The sequence below is a fragment of the Homo sapiens genome, chromosome X, assembly GCF_000001405.40.
Source record: "Homo sapiens chromosome X, GRCh38.p14 Primary Assembly".
In the NCBI taxonomy this organism is placed as follows: Eukaryota; Metazoa; Chordata; class Mammalia; order Primates; family Hominidae; genus Homo; species Homo sapiens.
This window is the reverse complement of record NC_000023.11, coordinates 136531993-136557209: the sequence shown is the minus strand read 5'-3', so window position 1 is coordinate 136557209 and position 25217 is coordinate 136531993. Positions and strand designations below refer to the sequence as shown.

At 43.5% G+C, this 25217-nt stretch overlaps 1 protein-coding gene and 1 non-coding gene across 2 annotated transcripts; both read right to left on the bottom strand.

Moving 5' to 3' along the window:
• VGLL1 (vestigial like family member 1) lies at positions 411 to 24995 on the bottom strand. The gene is made up of 5 exons (NM_016267.4): positions 24914 to 24995; positions 20976 to 21214; positions 8202 to 8621; positions 6389 to 6442; positions 411 to 759 (listed from the first exon to the last, which is right to left on the bottom strand). The coding sequence occupies exons 2-5, from the start codon at positions 21187 to 21189 to the stop codon at positions 671 to 673; spliced, it is 777 nt and encodes a 258-aa protein (NP_057351.1). The 5' UTR covers positions 21190 to 21214; positions 24914 to 24995; the 3' UTR covers positions 411 to 670.
• MIR934 (microRNA 934) lies at positions 6250 to 6332 on the bottom strand. Its single transcript, NR_030631.1, has one exon. It is a non-coding gene; the product is annotated as a microRNA 934 (primary transcript).

Below are 25217 nucleotides of genomic sequence, written 5' to 3'. Positions count from 1 at the left end.
CTTTTTTCCTCTTACTGAATCTAGGAAACATATGTAATACACTGGAAAAACTGTTCTTGAGACAGGAGAATTACTGTATTAATGCCAAGATCGCCAATCCACTCATAGAAGAGTTGTGCTCTTTATTTACATAGCAGATGGGAGGGGAAAATATCTAAGAGCCATCCTGACATTAACTTAATATCCTGATATTAAGTATTCCAGTGGTGAGAAAAGACCACTGAGTTCAGAGGCCTGGATTTCAGTGTTGGCCCTGATACTGGTCATGTGATCTTAGGCAGGTCATTTCGCTTCTCTAAGCCTCAGTGTCCACATATATTAAATGAAGATAATAATGCCAATATTAGGGTTGCTGGAAAATTTGAATGAAATGATGGATGTGAAAGAAATTAGAACCCGGCATAGCACCATCCAAAAAAGTACAGTTTTATTATTATTCATCATCTGAGCTGTTACACAGGAGCAAGCAGGGTGTGGATGGGGAACATTGACAGCGGGGGCTTCTGGGATTTTCACAGGGCAAGTACTGAGCTCATACTAGACACGAAGCTGTTTAACAGATTGGGGAGGCAAGTGGGTGTGAGCAGCTTTCATTTTTATCTGGAACAATATGCAGGGATGTCTTGCTGCCGTGTCTTAGACCAAGTGTTGTCTTTCTCCTCCAACTTGACTAAAGATGCTGCAGGTATCGATGTGGGTGGCCCCAGTGGTTTGGTGGTGTAAGTGAGTATTTCCCAGGTGTCTCTAACTCTGAAAGAGCTAAAGGAGAAGTTACATGGTTAATGAAAGCCAGTTAGGCCCCTATGGAAGGCTGTAAGTCTCCTCCAGGGTCCAGATGAACACCTGTGGGATGTCAGATACCAGAGTCCTCAACCTCAGAGGAAGGGAAGACAGAAACTCATGAAACTGCATCCAAGAAATGCTCTGGATACAGAGTAAATTCTATTGCAGCCACAACAGAATTTATTCAACTTGTGACGGGCAGTTTACTCAATTTCTAATGAGTAAGTTATCAGATTTCTCAACAATTGCATTTGGGGGTCACTTTGTTAGGATTGAGAAACCAAAGTTTTCAAGTGAAAGTATGTCATTCATCAGGACCAGACTGAGACTTTTCAGCTTCTTTTCAAACTTTGAAAATGTAGGAAACCCACAGCCTCAACCTATTCTCAATGGGTCTTGCCCACCCTTGACTCCTTTTCCTTATTCTCTATCCTTCATACTCACTTGCCACAACCTCACCCCTAGATAAGCGTCCCCATTTGCCTTCTCTGCACATTACACTAAGCTAACATCACTGATGAAAATTGCACAACCCAACTGAGAGTTCGCACTTGAAATTCATGAGCTCAGACTTCAGATCACCACCCAGAAATCCTACTTATGTTTGTCTACTATCAGGCTTTGCTTTCCCAATGCCCAAGAAGACTTCTTCATACTTTCTCACTCTCTTTAAATATCCCACACTCTTGCTGTCTTGCTCCACAGTTGATTGAGAAAATAGAAATCATTAGATTAGTACTTTTTAGTCTCCTCACAAGCAAGCCTGAAAATCAATTTGCATCTGTGTCCTTATTAGCTTTCTTTTCTATACTTTCAATGGCAGAACAGCCCCTGTTCTTATGAAAGCTCAATGCTTCTACATGTCCCTTCTGTCTTCTCAATGACTTCACCCCTCAAGTTACCTTCATCCTCCTATATTGGATCATTCCCATTATCATGCAAAGAGGCTCTAATATTTGCCTCTTAAAAAAAGACCTTCTCAAACCCCATTAATCTCTTTAGCTAACATCTTTTTTCTCTTTATCATTTCAATGTTAAATTTCTCTAAGAAGCTCCTCGAATTTACTATCTCCACTTTCTCATCTCTGGTTCACTCTTCAGCCCACTTCAATCTGGCTCCTGTCCACATCACATAATGAAAACTGCTCTTAACACGTCTACAAAAATCTCTGATGCCACATCCAATAGGAATTTCTTCTTATTTGACCTTCTCTTATTTGATCTCTCCACAGCCTTTAACACAGTTGATCACTCCTTCTGTTTTGAAACATTCACCTCTTTTAGCTTCTGTTATGTACCACACTGCCCTGGTTCTTCTCTTATCACACTGGCTACACCTTTTCAGTCTCCTCCGTTTGTTCCTCATGTCCCCAGTCTCTAAATATTGACACCCTCCAGGCCTCTTTCTGCAGCTCTCCTCTCTTCTATGTCTACGTCCTCTGACTAGGTGATCACATCCAATGGCCTTAAATACCACTTATGTACAGGACTAATATACATCCCAAATGTTTACCCAGACTTTCTTCACTTACATATACAACTGTTTAAAAGGTATATCCACTTGGATGTCTTATAGGCACCTCAGAATTGACATGGCCAAAACAGTTATATTCTCCTATCCATTTGTTGAAACATGAAACCTAGGAGATAACCTGGATTCTTCCCATTTCTTTGCCATTCCTATTTAATCCATTACCAAGTCCTAAGAGCTAACCCTCCTACATAGATCTCAAATACCCCTGTCTCTGCTGTTGCCACCTAATCCAGGCTATCATCCTCTCATGCTTCTTGCCTCTTTGTTTTCATTCTTCCCTTTCTCCAATGTGTCCTCTACAGAACAGCTTTTGTGATCTTATCAGATGCAAGTTGGATCACACGTAAAATCCTTCCATGGCTCACAATGTCGCTTAGAATATGAAATCTCAACTCCCAATGTGACCCATAAGGCCCCTGCACCACCTGGCCCCTGCCTACCTCTCCAGACTTCTCTTGTACCACACTCTCTCCTTTCTTACTCCACTCCTGTCACCCTGGTCTTTTTTTTTTTTCCATTCTTCACACACATCTCGGGCTTTTGCAGGGACAATTTCCTCCACCTCCCTCCATCTCTGCCCTAATTCTTCCCAGAGCTGGCTCTCTCACTTCATTCAGGTCCCTGATCACATGTCACTTCCTCAGAAAGGCCTCCTTTGAACACTTTATCTAAAGTTGGCCCCCATTTTTCCCTATTTCAACACCTCATGTGTTTTCCTCACTCCACTTATCATAACTTGCAAATATTTTGTATTTTCCCTTTGGGGGTGGGCATGTCTTCCCCACGAAACTATTAACTCTGTGAGGGCAGGGACCAAGACAATTTTATTCACTGTTATATCTCCAATGTATATTATAGTCCTGTATCTGGCAATTAGCAATATCAACTGTTATTATTATTTGTAGCCATTGAAGCAATATATAACCAGTATGTCTATTTCTACCGACCAAAAGATAAAATCAAATTCACTAAAACTTTTGAACAACATTTGTGAGACTAACCTCCAGAATGTCTTTCTCCAAGGTCTCTCTGACTACCCTTTTGGCTCTGATGACTCTTCTGCTCCACATGCCCCTGCTTCATAGATGCATGACAGCCCACATGAGGGGACTAGGGCCATATCGGAGGGGCAGGAGGAGACTCTGCCTCCCTTCCTTGACAAATATTTTTCTGGAGCCTCACATAGGAAATCTTTCAGAACAACCTAAATTTCCACTGAAAGGTTCATGTAGTTCACTTTTAAATGAGGTTAATATAAATTATATAAAGAATAAAACATGAGGCCAGGAGCAGTGGCTCACGCCTGTAATCCCAGCACTTTGGGAGGCCAAGGCGGGCTGATCACCTGAGGTCAGGAGTTCAAGACCAGCCTGATCAACATGGGGAAACCCCATCTCTACTAAAAATACAAAAAATTAGCCAGGCATTGTGGCGGGTGCCTGTAATCCCAGCTACTTGGGAGGCTGAGGCAGGAGAATCACTTGAACCCAGGAGGCGGAGGTTGCAGTGAGCCGAGATTGCGCCATTGCACTCCAGCCTGGGCAACAAGAGCAAAACTTCATCTCAAAAAAAAAAAAAAAAAAAAAGAATAAAACATGAAGAGGCAACTGAGTCTCATGCCAAATCTACTCCCCCAGGAAGTGGGGGAGCAGGATCTGGGCAGTGAACAAGCTCCCCAGGTGGTTCGTACCATCAGGCAAGATTGGGAGACTGGTGTCATGCTTAAGAGCATGGGCTTTGCTGGGTTCCATTGTCCTTTTACTTGGAGCCCTAGGAAGTCCCTTCTCTTCCTCTCAGCTCCATGTTACCTCCCTCTGCCCAGGGCCACAGTGTTAGAAAGGCAGACTTGGGCCTGTTGGCATAGCCACCTTTCCTCAACTACTCTCTGCAAGGAAAGAACATCCCCCACCTTCTTTCCCAAAGGTATATTTTTCTTTGCTCTTTTGCTTGCTTTCTGAGCCTTCTGCATCCCCCTTCCTTTATTTTAGGATAGTGCCCTGGTCCCAGATAGACAGTGAACTCATGTGTGGTAAAATAATCTCACCAGTGACTAATTTTCACTGTTGTATACTTGATTTAACTTGGAATTGTTTCTGATAATTTTATGACACTGTGAGAGCAAGGAGATAATACTGCATCTGCCACTTGCTGCTGTGTGATTTAAGGCAAGTCCTTTCACCTTTTTGAGATCCAGTTTCTTCATCTATAAAATGGGGATATTCATTCATTCAATCACTATTTACTGAATATCGGTTGAGTAAAGCACCTAGGACATATTCACATACACCTCACAAGGTCATGGTGGGGACTAAGCAAGATGGAGTATGTGGTATGTGGCTCATAGTCAACACCCAATACATGTTGTTGTTGCTGTTAGTTTTAGTCTATGAACAATTTTAAGCATCAAGTTATCAGTAATTCTGAGACTCACAATAAACAAATGTAGAAACTATTAACAAGTACTCAGGAAACACCACAATCCTTGCCTTTCATAAGTTAGAAGGCCAGCAGAACTCATTTCCTTGGGCAGGGACTTATGTGATGCCTGCCTTGGCTATGCTAAGGCTTTTGAACCAGCTCTAAATGAATCTCCTCATGGAGGCATGGCCAATTAATCACCAGGGTTGGTTTTTGTTTTGTTTGTCTCTCACACGAAGGCATCAAACAGAATAATTTTTACTACATTGGAATAATTTTTACTACATTACTACATTTTCTTACTGTTTCCTTGTTAAATGCTCTTTTATTGTTTCCAGCATTCACTCATTCATTTATTCAACAAATTTGTATACCACTGTGCAAGGTGCTAGGGATACAGTGGTATACCTCTCAAAGTCTCAGTCCTCATGGGGTTGACATTCTAGTGGGGTCTATAGATTGCCCTCACCCCTACTTCACACCAGACTGTCAAATGCCTGAGATCAGGGGCTGTGGTAGTGGCTCTTCCTTTGGATCCTCTCTATTTTTATTTTTTATGGAGATGAGGGTCTTGCTATGTTGCCCAGGCTAGTCTCTAACTCCTGGGCTCAAGTGTTCCTCCCGCCTTGGCCTCACAAAGTGCTGGGATTACATGTGTGAGGCACCACACCCAGCTTGAGTCCTCTCTTAAACACAGCACACAGAGCACAGCTTGGGGAACACAGGATGCCCTCCAAAAAGAATTCTTGATGGTTTAATGTATGCCAACGCTTAGAGTAATGTGCCAGCCATTATTCTAAGCATTGGTATACATTATTTCATTTACTCCTCACACCTCACCCAATGAGGTGGGCACTATTTTATGCTTATTTGACAAAAATGAAGCAACTGGGGCATGAAGTGGTTAAGAAATGTGACCAGGTTCCTGAAGCAAGTAAATAATAAAGCTGGCAATTGACCCTGAACCCAGGTCATGAAGATCCTCCTGTCATTCCACCCAGATTGTCCTCTTTTGTAAGTTCCCACTGACACCACTTTCAAATTGAGTGTGGAGCTCAGAGTCCTGGCCTCATGCCTCAGTTGACATTTTCACTGACTGCAGAGTCCTGGGGTGGCCCTATGTACTAGGCTGAAAACTGAACATCTGGGACACAGCAAGCTAATCCTCATCCTCATGAATTTCTTAATTTTTCTGGGTCACCTTGGCTATTTCAGTTAAGTCCAGCTCAGGTTAAAAAAAAAGAAATAAATAAAAGAATACTAGGCTGAAAACTGAACATCTGGGACATAGCAAGCTAATCCTCATCCTCATGAATTTCTTAATTTTTCTGAGTCACCTTGGCTACTTCAGTTAAGTCAAACTCAGGTTAAAAAAAAAAGAAAGAAAGAAAAGAAAAAAGAAACTAAGGAGAGTTTCTTCTATAGCAAAATAAAATTTTACAAGATAGGAAGTGCATATACTCTTTTTTGAGGCTAAAATGAAACAAATTCTATCTATGAAAACACTGAGTGATAGAAATAAGGCTCCCGTCCATTACTGGAGACTCTGGGTTTTATACTACCAGTGTCTCCAGTAGTAGACAGAAGCCTTATTTCTCAAGTTCGTTCTCAGGATACAGACACACACCATCAAAGGCTGGCCCAGATACCTACTTTCATTTGGAAGGCTGGTACTGGCAGATCCACGAGATACATATAGTTTCTTATCTAGAAAAGAAGAAGAAAACATTATTGGAACTGAAATTTCTAGGACTAGGTTAGAGAGTGCCCAGTAGCATTCCAGGGGCCCCACATTGCCTGGCCCTAAGTTTATGAATATCTAGCATATTCTCTCATATCAGATGCTACAAAAACTGAGAAGCTTCTGTTTTAAAGGTCCACCACCTTCCAAGGCAGTGTTCCTGATTAAGGGTCACTGACTTCCTCAACAGATCCTGGACTTCCAGTCACCAATTAATACAACTCATGTCAACATGAGTAGAGCATGAAGACCTTGGTGATAACCATTTGTTTGTGAATGTGTCTTGAGATTTCAGGAATAGGACAATGCCTGCATTAGTTTCACCATGATGTGCCTTGCTTACAGTAGATGCTCACTAAATATTTGCTGAATTGGACTTGAACTGTAAAGAGTTGCTAAGTTTGGAAGGTGATGATTTCAGCCATCTGTGTTCTAACCTACTGTCGAAACAGGGCTTTGCTGTGTGTATGCACAGGCATATATACAAGCACAGTTGGCCTAATTTTCCCTGTGAATCCAGTAGGAAAGGACTTTTGAAAAAGAGTAGAGGGGTAGGAAATTTCACAGGTTTCCCAAACATGACACTTCTATGATTTACTCCTTAAGTACATTCCTAATCAAATTCTGGAAATGACAGAGTGGTATTTTAATGGGAAATTTGTTTTCCACATTAGAATAGAACACAGTGCCTGACTTAGGTAGGCTATGCTGAACAGGCCTTTTGTTTACTATATGCTTAGTTCAGTGTAAAGATGGCTTCTAGTAATTTCTTTCAGGCATGGAACACTAGAACCACACTATGTATGGACAAGGAAGCTGCAAAAGAAAATTCGTCCAGAGTACAGAATGGCAGAGGATGCAGACTTGGTTCCATGAAACTATAAAATATATATTTATAAGTGTTTCATATTAAAGGCAAATCTTGCAACAGAGTAGGTTGATTTTTTGGTGGAAGTATAATTAATGCCAATTCTTCCCCGTCCTTTTACAAAGAAGGGAGCCTTGTTTTCTGATGGATATTTTGCATCTGGTAGGCGCAAATTAAATATTTGCTGGGTGAATGAGTGAATGAAGAGGTGAGTAAGCCTTAAGGGTGTTTTTAGTTCAGGGGAGGGGTGGTGGTCAGGGAGCAGGAACCCAAGGGAAACCAAGCAGGAGGATCCCAGAGTGCAGGAGCAAGCCAAGGACAGTCAGGCACTGTTAGGTCTCCAAGCAGCAATGGGGCTGCCTCCTACAGTCGCTTTGAATTTTAATGTGTGGAGCAGATGGTTGGTATAGATTGCCCTTGTTGTTTGCCTGGAGCCTGACATCACTGCAAGTTGCCAACCTGTTTAGAGGCTACAGTTTGAGCCTGTAGGTACGTCACAGAGCTCTGTTCTGCAAATGGCTTATTTAATTGCTCCCAATGAGGTAAACACAGGACCCTGCGATATTACGCAGCAGCCCATCATTTTTCTAAGGTAAGGCCAAGTTGACAGGCTAGGGTGAGTACTTCGGGCCAAGTCCATCTGGCTGGCTATCTATGTAACCCTTTAGCTATTAAACTGTGAATGTCAATGAAGCCTAGTGAAGATGTATGGAACATTTAAGCAGAACATCCCTTCCCTCAGCAGCCCTATGTCCAGAGTGGCAGCAATTAGTCTTGGCACCTCATCTCATGCCAACTCACTCTCAACCACAACCAATCAGAGGCACCCCTCCAAGTATCTGTAGGCATTTCCTTACAGTGAACTGAGCCGGGAGGCAGGTTGAAGAGCAACCCTGTGCTTCCAGCTATCTGGCCAGGGTTGCCATTCTCCCTGGCGGCAGATTCCTGAGGACGGGCTAGGCATCTGTCTTGCTGGAGGAGACTTAGGAGAGGCTCACGTTTCCCATCAGGCTGGGGCTCTGGAACCAGGTGCCGAGCGGGGAAGGGATGAGAGTAGCCAGGCTCTAAGGAGCTGGTGCCCGCCAGGGAGGAGAAATGCCACAGCTCCCCAGGCCGAACAGAGGCCCTCCTAGCCAGGGACGGTGAGAACTGATTCACAGCCATGGGACCAGGCACATGCAAGTTGCAGTTGGCGGCACGGTTTGTGACAGGTACTTCTGGTTGTGGCTTTGTCCATGGAGACGAGTAACGCCACTGATTTGGAGACATGCTATCATCTGAGAAGGAAAGATTTAGAAGACATGTTAGGTGTTTATTGTTTTCAAAATGGATGTAGTTTTTTTTTTAATACATACTCTATTTTTTTTAACTTGAAGGAAATACAGAAAAGCTAAAATAAAATCATCCTAATGATAATATCCAGAAACAGCCATTGTCCTCCGTAGGTGTACTGTTTCTAGGATTGGTTTCTATTCATGTATGCATTGTTTTCACAACATATATTGTTATTCAAGCCATTTTTGCTTCATTAAAATATCATGAAAAGCCTCCTATAGAAATGAATAGGCCAGGCACAGTGGCTCATGCCTGTAATCCCAGCTTCTTGGGAGGCCGAGTTGGGCAGATCACTTGAAGCCAGGAGTTCGAGACCAGCCTGGCCAATATTGTGAAACCACATCTCTACTAAAAATACAAAAATTAGCTGGGTGTGTTGGTGCACACCTGTAGTCCCAGCTACTCGGGATGCTAAGGCAGGAGAGTTGCTTGTGCCCAGGAGGCGGATGTTGCAGTAGGCCGAGATTGCTCCACTTCACTCCAGCCTGGGCAACAGAGTGAGACTCGGTAAGAAAGAAAAAAAGAAAAAGAAAGGAAGGGAAGGGAAAGGAAGGGAAGGGGGAGAGCCAAACACCAGCTTTTTAAAGTGCTGTACAGTAAGTAGTCCATGGTAAGGCAGTAATTAACAAATGTCATATTTGTGCACTGCTTGGTTATTTCCATTTTTTTCTATTATGCTAACAGCATTACAATGAGCATCTCTGTATAGATACCTTTGCTCCCGGATCCAACCAGCTCCTTAAGGATGCTTTTCTGGAAGTAAATGTGCTTGATTTGTGTTTGGTTGCTGCTATCATCTAGCTTTATTTTACAGCTGGTGTTTTAAATACACCAAATAGGGGGACTCGACAGAACTTTAAAAAGGGCTTAACACTTACCTGTGCTGGTCACTCACACAACTCTAGGAGCTAAAACCACATTTTCCAGAGTAATATGAGGCACAGGGATGTTAAGAGACTGAACCAAGGTAGCAAAAACAGATTAGCCAAGAAGGGAAGTGAGCTGGAACGATAAGTAATGGGGAGGGAAGTAGTTGCTTGGACCCCATTTTGCAAAAGCAGAATTCTGAGGGTCAAGAGGTGACTTAGTTTCTTCTTGTGAAGTTCATGTGGATTGGTTAAGAGGGATGGAGTGTCCTTTGGTCCCATAGACACTATTCTTATTGTGCCTATGATAGCCGCTGAATCTGAGATCTCAAATGTCCAGGATAGCTTAGGACAAGGATGAATGTTTTCCCCATTCTCAACACCCACTCAGGCAAGAAGGGAGGAGGGAAAGAGTTCTTCCACACAGTTCTTAAAGCCTGGAGCCTATCATCTATCCAAGATAATGGAGAGAGGGTGGGTGTGGAGACAAAGGAAGATTAGCCGGCTGGAGAGGATGTCTGGGACACTGGTCCTCTTTCCCATACAAACCTCTCCTAGCGCTCTTGAATGTTTGGTTTGACTGGATTGTGTACAAGATAAAAAATTCTGAAAGGCCTGCCCAGTGTTACTGGAGTGCCGTCACTCAGTGTGACACAAAGGATAGGAAGAGAAGTCCAAGCCCTCAAGGCAAAGACATTCTCCCCAACATCTCACACCATTCACAGTGAGTGATGGGGGATGGTTGGCCCTTCTTATGAAACCAAAGGCAAGACAATATATTAAGATTTGTTTTGGTGAGGGTGAATGCTACTTCTGAAAATTGATATCTCCAGGCCAGAAGCAATTCAGTGCACAAAGAGAGTGATTAAGCTAATTTGGTGTAATCACAGTCTGTGTTTCATATTGAATGAGGGTACTGCATGTCCTAAGCACAAATTAGAAACAAAGCGTAGCCCCTGACAACTAGGCAGTTTCCATGTGAACAGGCCTTACAGATCTCATACATATGACTTAGGGGCTGAATGCTTGAAATGTGGAAAGCAGAGCCCCAGAATGTTTTGAATATTTCTCTTAACTGCTTCCTTTCTAGAATTCTCTGAAATGTTAAGGGAAGTGGTTTGGTGTGCCACAGCCCAAAGTCCTATATGGTCACCAGGTGCCCCAGAGCACAGTTTGGATGGGAGCTTATGGGCACGCACAGGGTGTCCTAACCCCAAATTCACAGTGATCCAACAGCGGGCCTTGGGTGGCCTGGGGAAACACATCATTCCAGATTAGGCTTGGAAGTCAGTGGCCCATGGAGTGGAGACCCTGGATTTGAGTGGGCCTCTCTTTTTCAGGCCTCTTGGGCCAACTGCTCCAGCAGCCACTCCCACCTACCCTGTGGATGGGTAAAGACCTCTTAAACTACAAACCTGCACTGGCTCAAGGCTGCTGCTGCTACTAAAAGTGATCCTGGTGACATTTTTTTCATCCAAGTGCCCCCTATTAGTTACCTCTAGAAGTGAGAGAGGGAGCCCCAGGGCAGAATTTGCTGCCTTCTCAAGCCCCTGACCACATGAATGAGTGGAGAGCAGGTAAGAAACACCCTGATGCAGGCATACATGGGGCAGGCTAGGATTTTTCTTTCAGCAGGAGTACAAATGGCTTCCACTCCACTAACTTCAACCCTGGGCATCTAGACCCTACCTCTTAGTCCCATTCATCCCTCTAGAATTCCTGATGCTGTTGGTCCTGAGACAAAACCTGTCCAGAGAGAGCTGGTCTCCATTTCCCGCACTGCCCTTTTTCGGTGAAACTGGCAGGCCATTCCCCCTGCTTTCCATGCATACCCAGAGGCGCCACACATTTCCACCCATATACACTTTTGGGAGCCCCAGAACACTCTAGAAAACATCTTCAGGCACTTATGAGTTTGCCGCCATTCCAGAGTACCTTCCCTCCACTTTATCCTTGCATGGAGGCCCTGACTTCCTATTCCAGATTAGTTTTTCAACATACAAACTTAAATGTCACCCTTTCAGAAAGGCCTTCCCTCAACTTCCAATCTAAAGTTTGTGACCCTGTTACTTTCTGTGACTGCACCCTGTTTATTTCCTTCATGGCAGTAATACTGTAATTTATTTATTTCTTAATTCTTACATTCATTCATTCACTATTGGTCTTCTTTATCGTTCAGTAAGCTTGGCGAGAGCTGAGATCATTTCTCTTTTGTTCACCATTATATCCCCAAGAACTTGCACAGTGCCTAGCACATAGTGGCCCTGAAAAAGTATTATTCTAATGAGTGCACACACTTATTTACACACAAACACACATACATATGCACCGTTGCAAACATGTACACACTCACTAACACAAACATGCACACACACACACATACACACCCTTCCCCACTGAACCTTTCTAAATCGAAGAGAGCAGGATGAAAGTGGTTAAAAGCACAGACTTTGAAGTCAGAGAGGCTTGGAATCCAATCCCAGATCTGCCACTTCCTAGCTATGTGACACTGAGCAAGTCCCCTCCCACCTCTGAGACTGTTATGAGATTGAATGAGACCATCCATGTAAAAGGTTTAGCACAGTGCCTGGTACACAATTGGCACTCAATAAGTGGTAGCTGTTGCTGTTGTTATTATTCATCATTTCAGTTTAAAAAGCCACTCTGGGTTTCTTTACTGGTTTGCAACACTCAGCACAATCAACGTGAGAAAAAGCAAGATGGTCATTAATGCATGAGGCCTAAGAACCCTCCCTGCCAACAGTCACCTAGTGCTGGAGAAGGGAGGGGCAGAAAGGACTGAGCCAAGGGGCCCATAACAGCAGCAGAGGCAGCAGCAGCACTTCAGGGCTGGTTTGGAGGCTGGAGTAGATACTGGTTATAAAAGAGGGATTTCAGAAGTCTTTGCTCAGTCTGTGGCCATTCCCAGGGAATAACACATCAGAGGTGGGCAGGAACAATTTGTAAATATATAGTAGTTTTTGTTTATTGAGTACTCACTATGGGCCAGGCACTTTACTTAGCACTCTGCATACATGATCTCATGTGATCCTCACAGCAACCCAGATGAGAAAATCGAGACCCAGAATGGTTAAAGTGACTTGTCTAAGGACACACGGCTAGCAAGTGGTAGAGGTGTCTGATTCCAAACCTTATGCTCTTACCAACTATGCCTCCCCAATATTGCAAAGAATGCAGTGAGGTGGGCACTTTTACATGCTCCTTGGGTTGGAGGGCTGGCAGATTGGCATAACATTTCTAGGAAGAAATTTGTCGGTAAATATCAAAACCCTAAAATTTGTGTGTACTCTTTGACCCAAGCATTCCACTTGTAGCAATTTATTTTAAGGATATAGTCAATGATGCATGTAAAAATGTACCCACAAGGATGTTCAAAGTGATTTGTATAATATAGCGAAAGATTAGCAACAACCTAAATATCCAAAAATTTTAATAAATTTGGTACATCTATAAAATGATACTCTTAAGCCATTAAAATGATGTTGTAGTAGAACATTTAATGGCATGGAGAAGTGGATATGACATTGATGAATTTTTTAAAAAAGCAGGTTACAACCCATTCTGTGCAAAATGATGTCACGTTGTAAAAATTAGTACATGTCCATGGATGTACATGTGGTTTTTGTTTCCTGAATGCTTATCTGTGTTTTCTAAATTTCCAAAAAGGAGTATATTTTATGTTTGTAAATAGTAAAAATTATGTTTTAAGCAAAAACGTAAGAAACCACTTGACACGTGAAGCTCCCAAAAAACGAGTCACAGCTGTGAACGACTAATCCATGATTGCCTGATTTCCTTCCATCTATCCTTTCTTCTTTCCTTCCTTCTCTTCTCCCTCTTTCTGCATCTTTTAATGCAAATTCTGTGGGATTTTTTTTTTTTTGACAGGGTCTCACTGTCTCCCAGGCTGGAGTGTACTGACAAGATCATAGCTCACTGTAGCCTCAGTTTCCCCAGGCTCAAGCAATCCTCCCGCCTCAGCCTCAGCCTCCTGAGTAGCTGGAAATACAGGTGTGAGCCACCACACCTGGACAATTTTTAAATATTTTTGTAGAGACAGGGTCTCTCTATGTTGCCCAGTCTGGTTTTGAATGCCTGGCCCTCCCAAAGTGCTGCGATTACAGGAATGAGCCACCATGCCTGGCCTACAAATCTCATTTTATGATGAAGTTGAAATCAAGAACCCTCTGAACACATGCACACTTTGCACTGTGAAAGTCCAACCTTGGCCTGCATGATCTGCACGCGTTGACTTTCCCTCTCTGCCCTCTTTGCTGGTGGCACTTGCACTTCATCCATTCACCCCCAAGTACAAAAAGCATATTGTTTGCATTAGCTGAGGTCAAAATATCACTGGGGATGGAGGGAGAGCTTAGAGGAGATTGTGCTGTTCCAGGGCACCAGGGGGGCCTCTCAGTTCCTTCCCCTCTTTCACAGCTGCCTCCCTGGGGTACCTAGTCTTTGGATGAATATCCAGATTCCTTTTCCCAACTGAAAACAGAGATCAAACACAGAATATGAGCTAGTATTCGAAATGCTGAGTGGCTAAGATCCGAAATCAATTCCATCTGCCGGCAAATACTATAGACTCCCCATATTAGCTGAGAGATCTTGGGCAAGTCACTTGACTGTCTGAGCCTCAGTTTCCTCATCAGGAAAATGGACATAGAGTTAACCAGTAGAGTTGGTGTGAAGATTCAGTGAGATAATCCACGTGACAGACCCTAGCAAAGGGCCTGGCACACAGAAAGTGTTCAAAAAGTGTTAGCCATTATACACATTATTAGCGATAGTCCTTATAGGTATTAAATCCTCTTGCTGGGGCATTGTCAGAGTGTACAAAGGCAAGACAATGGGGTATTCAAGAGACTGGCTCTGGAGATCGATGGACTTGGGTTTCAATCTTTATCACTCACTGGCTGTGTGACCCATCTCTAGGCACTTACCTTCTCTGGGCTGCAGTTTCCTGCTCTGTAAAATAAGGATAATAATATCCATTGCAAAATAGTTTTGTGAAGCACAACCAACATGCAGAAAAACGCACAAATGGAAGTGTGCAGCTGGGGGAATTTTCATAAACTGGGTAATGAGCACCCAGCTCGAGTAACAGAACCTGATCACCACCCCAGAAGCACACCGTACCCCTCTCAGTCACAACACCCCCAAAACGTAACCATATCCTGTCTTCTGACACCATAGGTTAGATTTGCCTGTCTTTGAACTTTATAAATCACAGTGGATTTCGTGGACTGAAGTAAAATGCACTAATTTTAGTGTGGTGTCTGGTATTCGCTGGAAGCTCCATATATGTTTGTGCAGATAGATTCCTCTTCCTTACGGGAAAAGAAGACAGGAAACTGTCAGTATTTACAAGGGCCATAAACAACTAGCATGACTATATCTCACATAGATATTTACACTTTTTTTTTTTAAAAAAAGCCAGCATTTCTTCCCTACCCTTACTGATTATGGCAGATGGGAGGGGAGAGAGAAGGAGGCTGGATCCTTTGAGACCTCTAAAGGCCCACGTATATACCCTCTCACCTTCTCTCAGCAGCCCTAGAGCAATGTTGCCAGGCCTGAGGCCGGCCTCAGGACTGGGGCTGGGGACAGGACAAGAAGAACACAGGGTGGCATACGTACCAGGACCATGCCCCCTACAAACTATAGTTACTGAAGCTTCTCTAGTTACTGATTCTAAAATTCCCAATGTCCTTTTAAAAGGGAGATAATTCAAAGATACCTTCAACTTGTATTTTCTTTTCTGAAGTACAGCCAGTATAAATTATACATAAGTAAATAAAAACACAACACTGATTGGGGAAGAGAAGCCAGGAAATTTGACGGCATTTCCTAGCCACACGGGTCTCTGTGTTTGGGACTTGCATATTTGGCTCAACAGAGAGCCCTTAGAATGTGGGCGAGTCGGCCATGGGAGCCCATGAATGGGAGCCTGTTCTCCTTGGAATGGCCTAGCTGGGCTGGACGGCCTGGTGCTGGTCTGTAGGGTTTGAGAGGATACTAACAGTCAGTAATGAAAGGCCACTTGAAAGATTTCCCACCATTTTCAAAGCCATATGTATGTCATATAACACCTCCAGTGAGAACCTCTGTGGGACTGGAAGCCTTTCATGGGGCCCTCCCCTGAGGCAGCAGAGCTTATGAGAAACTTGACTCCTAGTGGTGATAAGAGAGGCTTTGAGGGAGGCAGTTTTTCCTTCATTTGCTCAATCAGCGGACAAATATTTGCCTAGCCCGCACCACACTCTGTGAGGGAGACAACATCTTCACAGTCAAAGGATTTGTGGGGTTCTTATAGGGAAAATGCAACAACCAAGAAGGAAGATGGAGAACCAAGCCACCTCTCTATCTGGCCTGTGAAGGCTGGCTTGGGCAAGGAACAGGGCCATGCCCAACTTCCCTCAGCAGGCAGGGGTTTCACAGAAGGTCGAGGTGAAATCAGAAGGCACAGGAAACTCTATGGCAGCCATGAAACAGAACCCCCTGAAAACCTGGAGGCTTATGGGAGATGCCTGCTGCTCTGTGAACCTGGTGTTGTGAACACAGGTCCTCACATCTATCTTAGCTGTTCAAAAACTCAACTCAAGCTTGGACTACATTGCACTTACTATGTGCCACTTGACATGCATTATCTCATTGACTCCTCACAAGCACAGTCCTATAATTCAATATTATTCCATTTTAGAGATGAGGAAACTGAGGCACAGAGAGGAGAAGTGATATGTCTGGAGATCACACTGTTAGTAAGTGATGGAGCTGGCTTGGCCCCATGCTGAGTGGTTCTAAAGCTGTACACCACACCGTACTCCCTCTCTACGGTGACCCCCATCTGTAGGGTCAACACCTTGTGATCAAAATCATAATTTCATTCGTTCAAGCCGTATGTATTGAGTGCCTCCATGTGTCAGGCATTGTGGTAGGTACTTAGAAAGCAGCAGTTAACAGATTGAGTCCCTACTGCCACGGAGCTCAGAGGGTAAGGGGAGAGAGGAGTCTAGAAAGAAATACAACATATAATGTGCCCGGTGGTGACAAATGCTAAGAAGAAAAATGAAGCAGGGTAAGAAGACAGACGTGAGAGGGTGGGGGCTTTCATTTTTTAAATAGGTTGCTCAGACAAGGACTGTTTGAAGTGGTGACATCCAGGTGGAGACTTGAATGGAGAAAGGTGACGCCATGCAGGTATCTGGGGAAAGAGCATTCCAGGGATAGGAGAGACCATGTGCAAAGGGCAGGCCTGAGGCAGGATTGTCCTTGGCATAGTTTATGAATACCAAGGAGCCTAGACTGGAGCGGGTGAGGCAGAAAGTGGTAAGATATGAGATCAGTAAGACAACGGGGGCCCAGATGAGGTAGGGCCCCATTATAGACTTTGGATATGATTCCAAGTGACATGGGAAGCTGTCAGAGGGTTTCAAACAAAAGAGTGCTAGTGTGTGACTTTCATTTTAATGCTACCATTCTGACTGCCCTCCTAAGAATAGACTGAAGGAGAGGAAGGGAAGAAGCAATGAGACCAATTAGGAGGTGACTGCAGCAATTCAGCGGGGGGTGATGATAGCTTCTAGGACCCAGGTGACAACGGAGGTGAGAAGATGCGGTCAGATCTTGGATATTTTGAAGATAGAACCTACACAATTTCCAAAAGGATTGGATGTGGGGTGTGAGACAGAGAGGTGTTAAGCATGACTTCAAGGAATTGGAAGGGTGCAGCTCCCATTTATTGAGATGGGAAAGACTGTGGGCAGAGCAGGTTGAGGGGGAAATTAAGAGTTTATTCAGTTTGGGAGCTATTTTGTTTGAGTTTCCTATTAGGCATGTTAAGTGAAGATCAAGTAGGCAGTTAGACAGGCACGTCTGAAATCCATTCTGGTTTGCAGATATGCATTTGGAATTGCTCAACATATAGATGGCATTTAAGACCAAGACAGTAAGTGTAGACAGAGAAAGGAGTTGTCTGGGACCTGAGTACTGGGGCCCTGAAATGTTTAGAAGTTGGAGAGAGAAGGACATATAGCAAAGGAGACTGAGAAGAAATAGTAACCAGGGAGGCAGGAGGAAAACCAAGAAAGCATAATGTTATGGGCTGACTGCAAGCGAAGTAGGTATTTCACGAGGAGAGAGCAATCTTCTGCAGCAAATGTTATGATAGGTCAAATCAGATGAGGACAGATAGGGACCATTGGATTTGGAAAGTGGAGGTCACTGGGTAACCTTGATAAGAGCGATTTCAAGGAGTGATGAGGTTGAAAGCATGAGTGGAATGGAGTTTAGAGAGCATGAGAGGAAAGGACAGAGTACACATAAATACCAATTTTGAGTTTTGCTGCAAAATGAAGCAGAGAAATGGGGCAATAGGCCAAGAGTTGGTTTTATCCCAGCTTGGGTTTTACCAGGCAAGTAGAATAGAAAAAGTGAGACCATGGCTTGATGATGCTTACAAGGGAATGATTATAATGAATCCAAGCCAATGTGTTCAGAAATAAATCAGAGTCAAATAGCCGAAGTCAGTATACTTGTCTGTGTATTAACTGCCCGAGATTTTGACACTTCCAAGGAGTCAGTTAGATCTTCTGAATCCCACACACCACATTTCTCAGCTCTTACCACATGTCAATCCCCCAAATGATTCAAGACCATGGTCATTCCTGCTTCTGTTGTGATTATTCAGCACACTCTTAGACATCACCTCCCCACTCCCCACCCACCCCCTCCTGCCCATTTTAACAGCAAGCTCTACATCATTTCCTTTAGTATCTGCTGCTACCCCATGCCCTTCCACATATTTATTTAACCCACAAGATTCTCTGAGAAAACCACATTGATTGACTGCAAAAGTAAATTCTAAGAGAGAAGTAAATTCTGCAAAGGTGAATACATCAGATACACATCAACTCCCTCTCCAGTCCCAAAAAGCAAAGCCAGAATGATGGCATCTGGAAACAGGGGAGCTCTTTGCCTGGAGGCAGAGGCCCCACTTGTCCACTTTACACAAAAGCCCCTACTTGGAGGTACGTACGTCTTCCAGTGGGAGCAAGTCGTTCAACATGTGCACTCACCAACACCAATAAAGAGCTCTTGAAATCCACCAGACCCTGATATATTTGCTCACTTTCCAAAAAGGTAAAGGGAGCCATATTGAGTGACATCCAGCTGGCGAGGGTGACTTCTCCATTAGGCACAGGAGGCACAGTGCCTAGGACCCATTAATAGTTTTAGGGGCCCACAAAAATGTTTTAAAATCAGAAGAAAAAATGAATATGACAGTGATACTGAATATATTTAAAACATGAACTCAGCTTGGATTATATTCATCTTTATACCAATGCAGTCATAAAATGTAACTTTTAATGTTTTTGTGGAGGAAGGAGGTCCATGAAGACAAAAGTGTCCAGGGTCCGTGAAAGTCATACTACAGCCCCTGCTAGTGTGATGTTTAAGGCTTCCTTCAAACCTGGATATTTTGATGTGCACATTTTGACTTAGTTATCTTGAAGTAACTGTTTTGAGATGTACGACTGTTTATTTCTTAACAATTAGCAAATAGACACACCTGGCCCTGTGAAGGGTGGGAAAGGGATGTGGCAAGACTATTCATCTACTTCCCTCTGGCCCCTACCCTTGCTCACCAAACCATGCACTATTAGTTGAGAAGAGGCTGGGAGCACCTACATGGGACATGCGTTTTCTTTTCATAGATGCTTTGGTGTTCCTGCCCCATCAGGCCTATAGTAATAATAATAGTGATAATAATACTAGCTGGGTGTGGTGGTTCACACCTGTAATACCAGCACTTTGGAAGGCTGAAGTGGGAGGATCGCTCGAGGTCAGGAATCTAAGACCTGCCTGGGCAACATAGCGAGATCCTGTCTCTACAAAAAAAAAAAAAAATTAAATTAGCTGGGTGTGGTGGCGCATACCTGTAATTCTAGCTACTTGCGAGGCTAAGGCGGGAAAATTTCATGAGCCCAGGAATTCGTGGCTGCAGTGAGTTATGATCGCGCCACCACATTCCAGCCTGAGCAACAGAGTGAGACCCTGTCTCTAAAAAACAGAAGATGAAGAAAAATACTGATAATGATTACAGTAAATAGTTGTGGAGTTTCATTGTGTGCTGAGCAGTAAACCCAGCATTTAACATGATTGAGGAAATAATAAAATAGGTGAACTGATTTGATTAAACAGCACCCATTTTTACATTAAACTTCTTTTTTTCTTTTTCCAGTAGCTTTACTTTTTTTTTTTCTTTTGAGACAGGGTCTTGCTTTGCCACTCAGGCTGGAGTACAGTGGTGCAATCATGGCCCACTGCAGCCTCAACCTCCCAGGCTCAAGTGATCCTTCTGCATCACCCTCCTTAGTAGCCAGAGATATAGGTATGAGCCACCACACCTGAATAATTTCTTTAAATTTTTTTGTAGACACAGGGTCTCACTATGTTGGCCAGGTTGGTCTCAAACTCCTGACCTCAAGTGATCCTCTTGCCTTGGCCTCTCAAAGTGCTGGAATTACAGGTGTGAACCATCACACCCAGCCAGCTTTGATTTTAAAACTTTTCAAAACCACCTCTCTACAACTGGGAACTTTCCATTTATGGAAATAAATTATATAAAATGTAAATATTATCAACATTTAAAAACTATCATAACATACTTCTGCTCTAATGGCTTATTCAGCAAGATTCTAATTTATGTTTTAGTCTTTTATGGAAATTTCAAGGTTCTTTGTACCTAGATACAGTGCTCACAAATTTGCATATTTGTATGTTCATTTACTCATTCAACAAATCCTTGTTGGTTGTCCCCTATGTCACAGTCACTGTTTCTAGATGCTAGAAATACAATATTAAGCAAAATCAGCAATGGTCCTTGCCCTCACAGAACTTTCATTTAATGGAGGAGTATGCAATAGTCAAATAATTATACAAGTGTAAAAACTGCAACTGTGACAAGGGCTGTGAAGGAGAGTTAAAGAACGGTAGGAGAATCTGTAATAGGATATTTGAATGCTTGGGGGTGTGGGTGGTCAGGGAAAGCTGCCCTAAAGAAGTGATCTTGGGATGAATGTGGGTTAATTAGGAGAAGGGAGGGAAGAGATTTGCAGACAAGGAACAGTTTGTGCAAAGGCCAGGAAGAAATCAAAGCGAACATGACGGACAGAAGGAAGCCAGTTTCTGGAGGACAGTGCTGGGGAGGTAAGGTTGGAGCAGTAGATGGCAGCCCCATTTTGACATTAAACTTCTAAGAAGGGGTGTGGCTTCTCACTAGTCAGAGCAACTTGCCTTTAGCAAACATATAAGTGTCCAAGTGTGTCAAGTACATCAAAGAACTGGTGTATCCGTGGCAGCCTTGATAGGGAATCCCAGCTCCCTCCCTCCCCACATGCTCACCGTTTTTCAGCATCACACCTTCACTCTGACTCGAGGGGGTCAATTCCTGGGGGCTCTTGATATTGCTCAGAGCTCTGGAGAAGTGTTCATCCACTACGCTGCTGATGTCCCCTTGGAAGTAGGTGAAAAGGACACACCGGGAATTCCATTCCGTCTTTATAGGCTTCTGTTTGCCTTTGGGCAGCCGGATGGCAGTCTTCTTCATTTCTTCCATTGTGAGTGAATGACACAGGTGACAGCTGTGGACCAAAGGCAAAATGTCACTGGCACTATTTACCAAGTGGCTTGGCTGTGGTTTGGGTGAGCAGTGTCCTTGGGGGCAAGCAATTTGCTCCCACCAGGTACACGTGCTCACTGGGGCCCCAGGGAGCCACATAGCTCCTAAAGGTCAATGACGATGCTGTTGAGAAGCCTTGTCTAATCAGTCTTCAAGGGACAACATGACAAATCTCCATGAAGTGCTGAGAAGGGGCCTTCTCTTACAAATGAGAATGATCAGGCAACCTGACTAGAGAGAGCATCAGGAAATGGGGAGGTGGGAGGACATTGAGGCCAAATAGCAGAGTAACTTGCCTCCTGGGGAAGTGCCTTTCTCCTAAACGAATGAGCCAAGGTTGGCCCAGAACTACCATGGGCTCCCATGGAGAGCTTGACCAGGCAATCCAGTCGGTGCTTGACAATTTCAATAGTAGGCATTGCTTTCCATCTTGACCACTCGCACGCAGAGGAGTAAACACATCAAATTCTCCTACTCCCCTGACGCCTTAATCTATGTAAGACTGTGTCCTACACCTACCCGCATCCCATCTTAGAAACTAGCAATTACAAACAACACCATCTCTAAGGACTCCAACAGATATATTCTGAACAAAATGCAGATGTACAAAAAAACATTTTTATACCAATGTTGTCACCATTGGTGGAAACCTCCTGAAAGATTGTAAGATTGTCAGCTCTGTTCCCCAGCACATCTTTTGTATCTAGAACAGTGCCTGGAATAGAGTAGATGCTCAATAGCTGTGTATTGAACTGCCCTAAACTTGGGTTCCATCATTGGTATCATCATATCCCACCTTGAGAGTTCCTTGTGGGCAGAGGCTGGCTATTTGCATTCAGACCAGGTCCTGGCACACCGTGGGCCCTCAAGACATGCTGTGGCCTTCCTTTACTAGGGAAGTAGCCTGTCAGGATGCTTCTTTACCTTTGATCACCGAATCTGACTTGCCATGTGCTCTGGCTAAAGATGGGTTTGACCTATTCATTCTTGTCAATTTAATGAAAATGACTAGAGTTTAATAGACTATCTTTCTCTCTAGTTTATGAGATCCTTGAGAACAGCATTTCATATTCATTTCTTTATTCCTAGCACCTAGCATAATGTAGGTGTTAAGTAACCAATGTTTCCTCTGGTTGACAGTCATGCTAAGCGTAACCAGGTACTAGCTCAAAAACGAATCCATTGCACCCTTACTTTCCAAAAACATGTGAACAAATGCTTTGAAAAACTGGTAATTTCTTATAAAGTTAAACATATTCTTATCTTGTGACCCAGCAATCTCACTTCTAGGTACACATAGCCAAGAGAAATAAAAACTATGTCCACACAAAGACATGTACTTGAATGTTCACAGCAGCTTTCTTCATAGTAACCAAAAATGGAAAGTACCCACATGTTTATCACCAGGAGAATAAATAAATTAGCTGTGACATATTTATACAATGGAATGTTACTCAGCAAAAGAACAAACAAACAAACTACCAATCTACACAACAGCATGTATGAATCTCAAAAACATGTTGAGTGAAAGAATCCAGACACTAAAGGCCACATATTGTACAATTTCACATACATGAAACAAGCACAAATAATCTGCGGTGATGAAATTCAGAACTGTGGTTGCCTGTAGGGTAGAGATTGAGAGATTGACTAGGAAAGGGCATGAGGGAGCCCTCAGGGGTGTTGGAAAGGTTCTACATCTTGATGAGGGAGATGGTTACTACATGAATGGATAAATTTGTTAAAACTCATCAAATTTTACACGTAAGACCTATGCATTTCACTGTAGGTAAATTATTCCTTTATTTAGAGAAAAAGCTCATGATCTATTCTGATACTTGAAGGGACAGAAATAAAAACCAAGGTGTTATGAATTATAAAGCAATGAGAAGCATGGAGGCAGTACTTTTTTAAAGCTGCAGTTTACAGAACACCTACTGTGTGCCAGAAACTACACAGCTATCTTCTCCAATCTTCATAATCCTCAAATTAGGTATTGTTATCCCCATTTTACAGATGAGCAATTTGGGTCTTAAAGAAGGTGAAATAGACTGCCTAGGCTACACAACTGGGGAGTGGCAGAGCTGGGATTTCAACCTAGGTCTTTCTGGCGTTAACTTCTGTCCTACCTTTACCATCCCTTATTGACTACCCATTGGGTCTAATAGTCCCTTCTCCTCTATGGGCCTCAGTCTCTCCATCTATCTCCTAATCCCTAGGGGGCCTCAAGCCAGAACCCTAAACCAGCCATCTGGTTTCCTTCAGATAACGCAGGCAGCAACTCCCAACTCTGTCTGCTCCCTCAGGGCTTCTCCTTGAAGCCTCTGTCTGCTGCTGGAAGGGCCAGTGAACAACTTTGGAGGACTCACCCTCTCATTCTCAGAATTTCCAGTGGCCACTGCTCAAGGTTCAGGCTTGACACAGCTTGCAATCTCTCTTTGCTAACTCCCCTTGAAGCCACAAGGGAAGGAGCTGGTAGGACCCTGAGGACATTAGGGCCCTGAAGCATGTGCCTAGTGTCCTTGGGTAGAATCCACAGATGCCCCAGGCCAACTGGCTACAGTCAGGAAATATTAGAGATGGAGAAAGTCAGAGGTGGTGTTTCAGCCTCTTCACCTTGGAGAGCTCAGTCCGTGGGCAATTGGGCATCCTGAATAATAAATTCAGTATTCACTGAATAAGTACCACCTATGCCCTTCTTTTCCTCCCCAACCACACCGCACACAATCAAAAGGAAAGCCATAGGCCACTTCTCTGGATCGGCTCACAAGCAACTCCCTGGGCTGCACTTGGACCAAAGTGGAGAGAAACTGTATTTGAGGAATATTAAAATTCTGAGAACTGTCATTGGCTTAGTCCTATGAAGAACTGCATCTCACTCTACCTCTGGAGAAACATGAGGAGCTTCATCCTCAAATGAGCCCTCCATAAGAGGTCTCTTCATTCATGAATTAATTGCTGGGGTGTGTCTCGCCTAGGAGAAAGAGATGCTGCAAAGCTGGATAGAAGGGGATGTCAGTGAGGCTAAAGAAAGGGTGGCTGTCTCCCAGAGAAGATGTTTCCATATCAGTGCCTGGCTTATAGCAAAAGCCTCTCGTAGTAGACAAAACCCCAAGGCCAAGTTTTACCAGTGGTACCGCCAGAACGGCATAATTACTAAACAACAGGCAGTTTGCAACTTCCCCATCTCACAAGATACAAAGACAGAAAGTGCTCCCTCAAATATTGCCCACACTTCTGAAAAAAAAAAAAGAAAGAACAAAAAATGAAAGAAAGAAAGAAGAAAGAAAGAAAAAGAAAGAAAGAAAGAAAGAAAGAAAGAAAGAAAGAAAGAAAGAAAGAAAGAAAGAAAGAAAGAAAGAAAGAAAGAAAGAAAGAAAGAAATATTTGAGCACAGAATCCCAAACCAGCATTTTGGCCAGAACTCTACCACAATCTGCCTGCATGGACGCACTTACCGCACTTCTCCAAAATGGTACCTAGCAGTCTGGGGTAGGGTGGGAAGTCAGAGGGGTTAGTTTGTCAAACCAATCACTTGGAACGAAATCCCCAAGGGGACCAGATTGTATCTCATTGAGCAAAGTATTTGATGACTACCCCCATTTCTTCCCAGTTAAGTTTCTTTGCTTCTCCCCCCAAAAAAATCCCCAGATTCTCTTACCTCTTAATTCTGGACCATCACCTGATTCTGTGGCTGGGAAAAGATGGCCAGAGCTGCCTGGCTCACTTCAGAGCAGGTTAGTGCTTGCGGAAGCAGGAGCTGAGGATTTGTACCCCCACCTCCTTGTTACTTTCCGCCCCTCTAGCTGGGACTGTACAAGGCGTTTCCTGCTAGCTATCTATTAAGAATGCAGAAAATGTACTCCAACAAGTCAACCTGGTTGGGCACCTGCAGGAATGAGGAACATGGTAGCTCTTTTTTTTTTTTTTTCATTTCTTTCTTTTTGGTTTAAAAAAAGCATTTT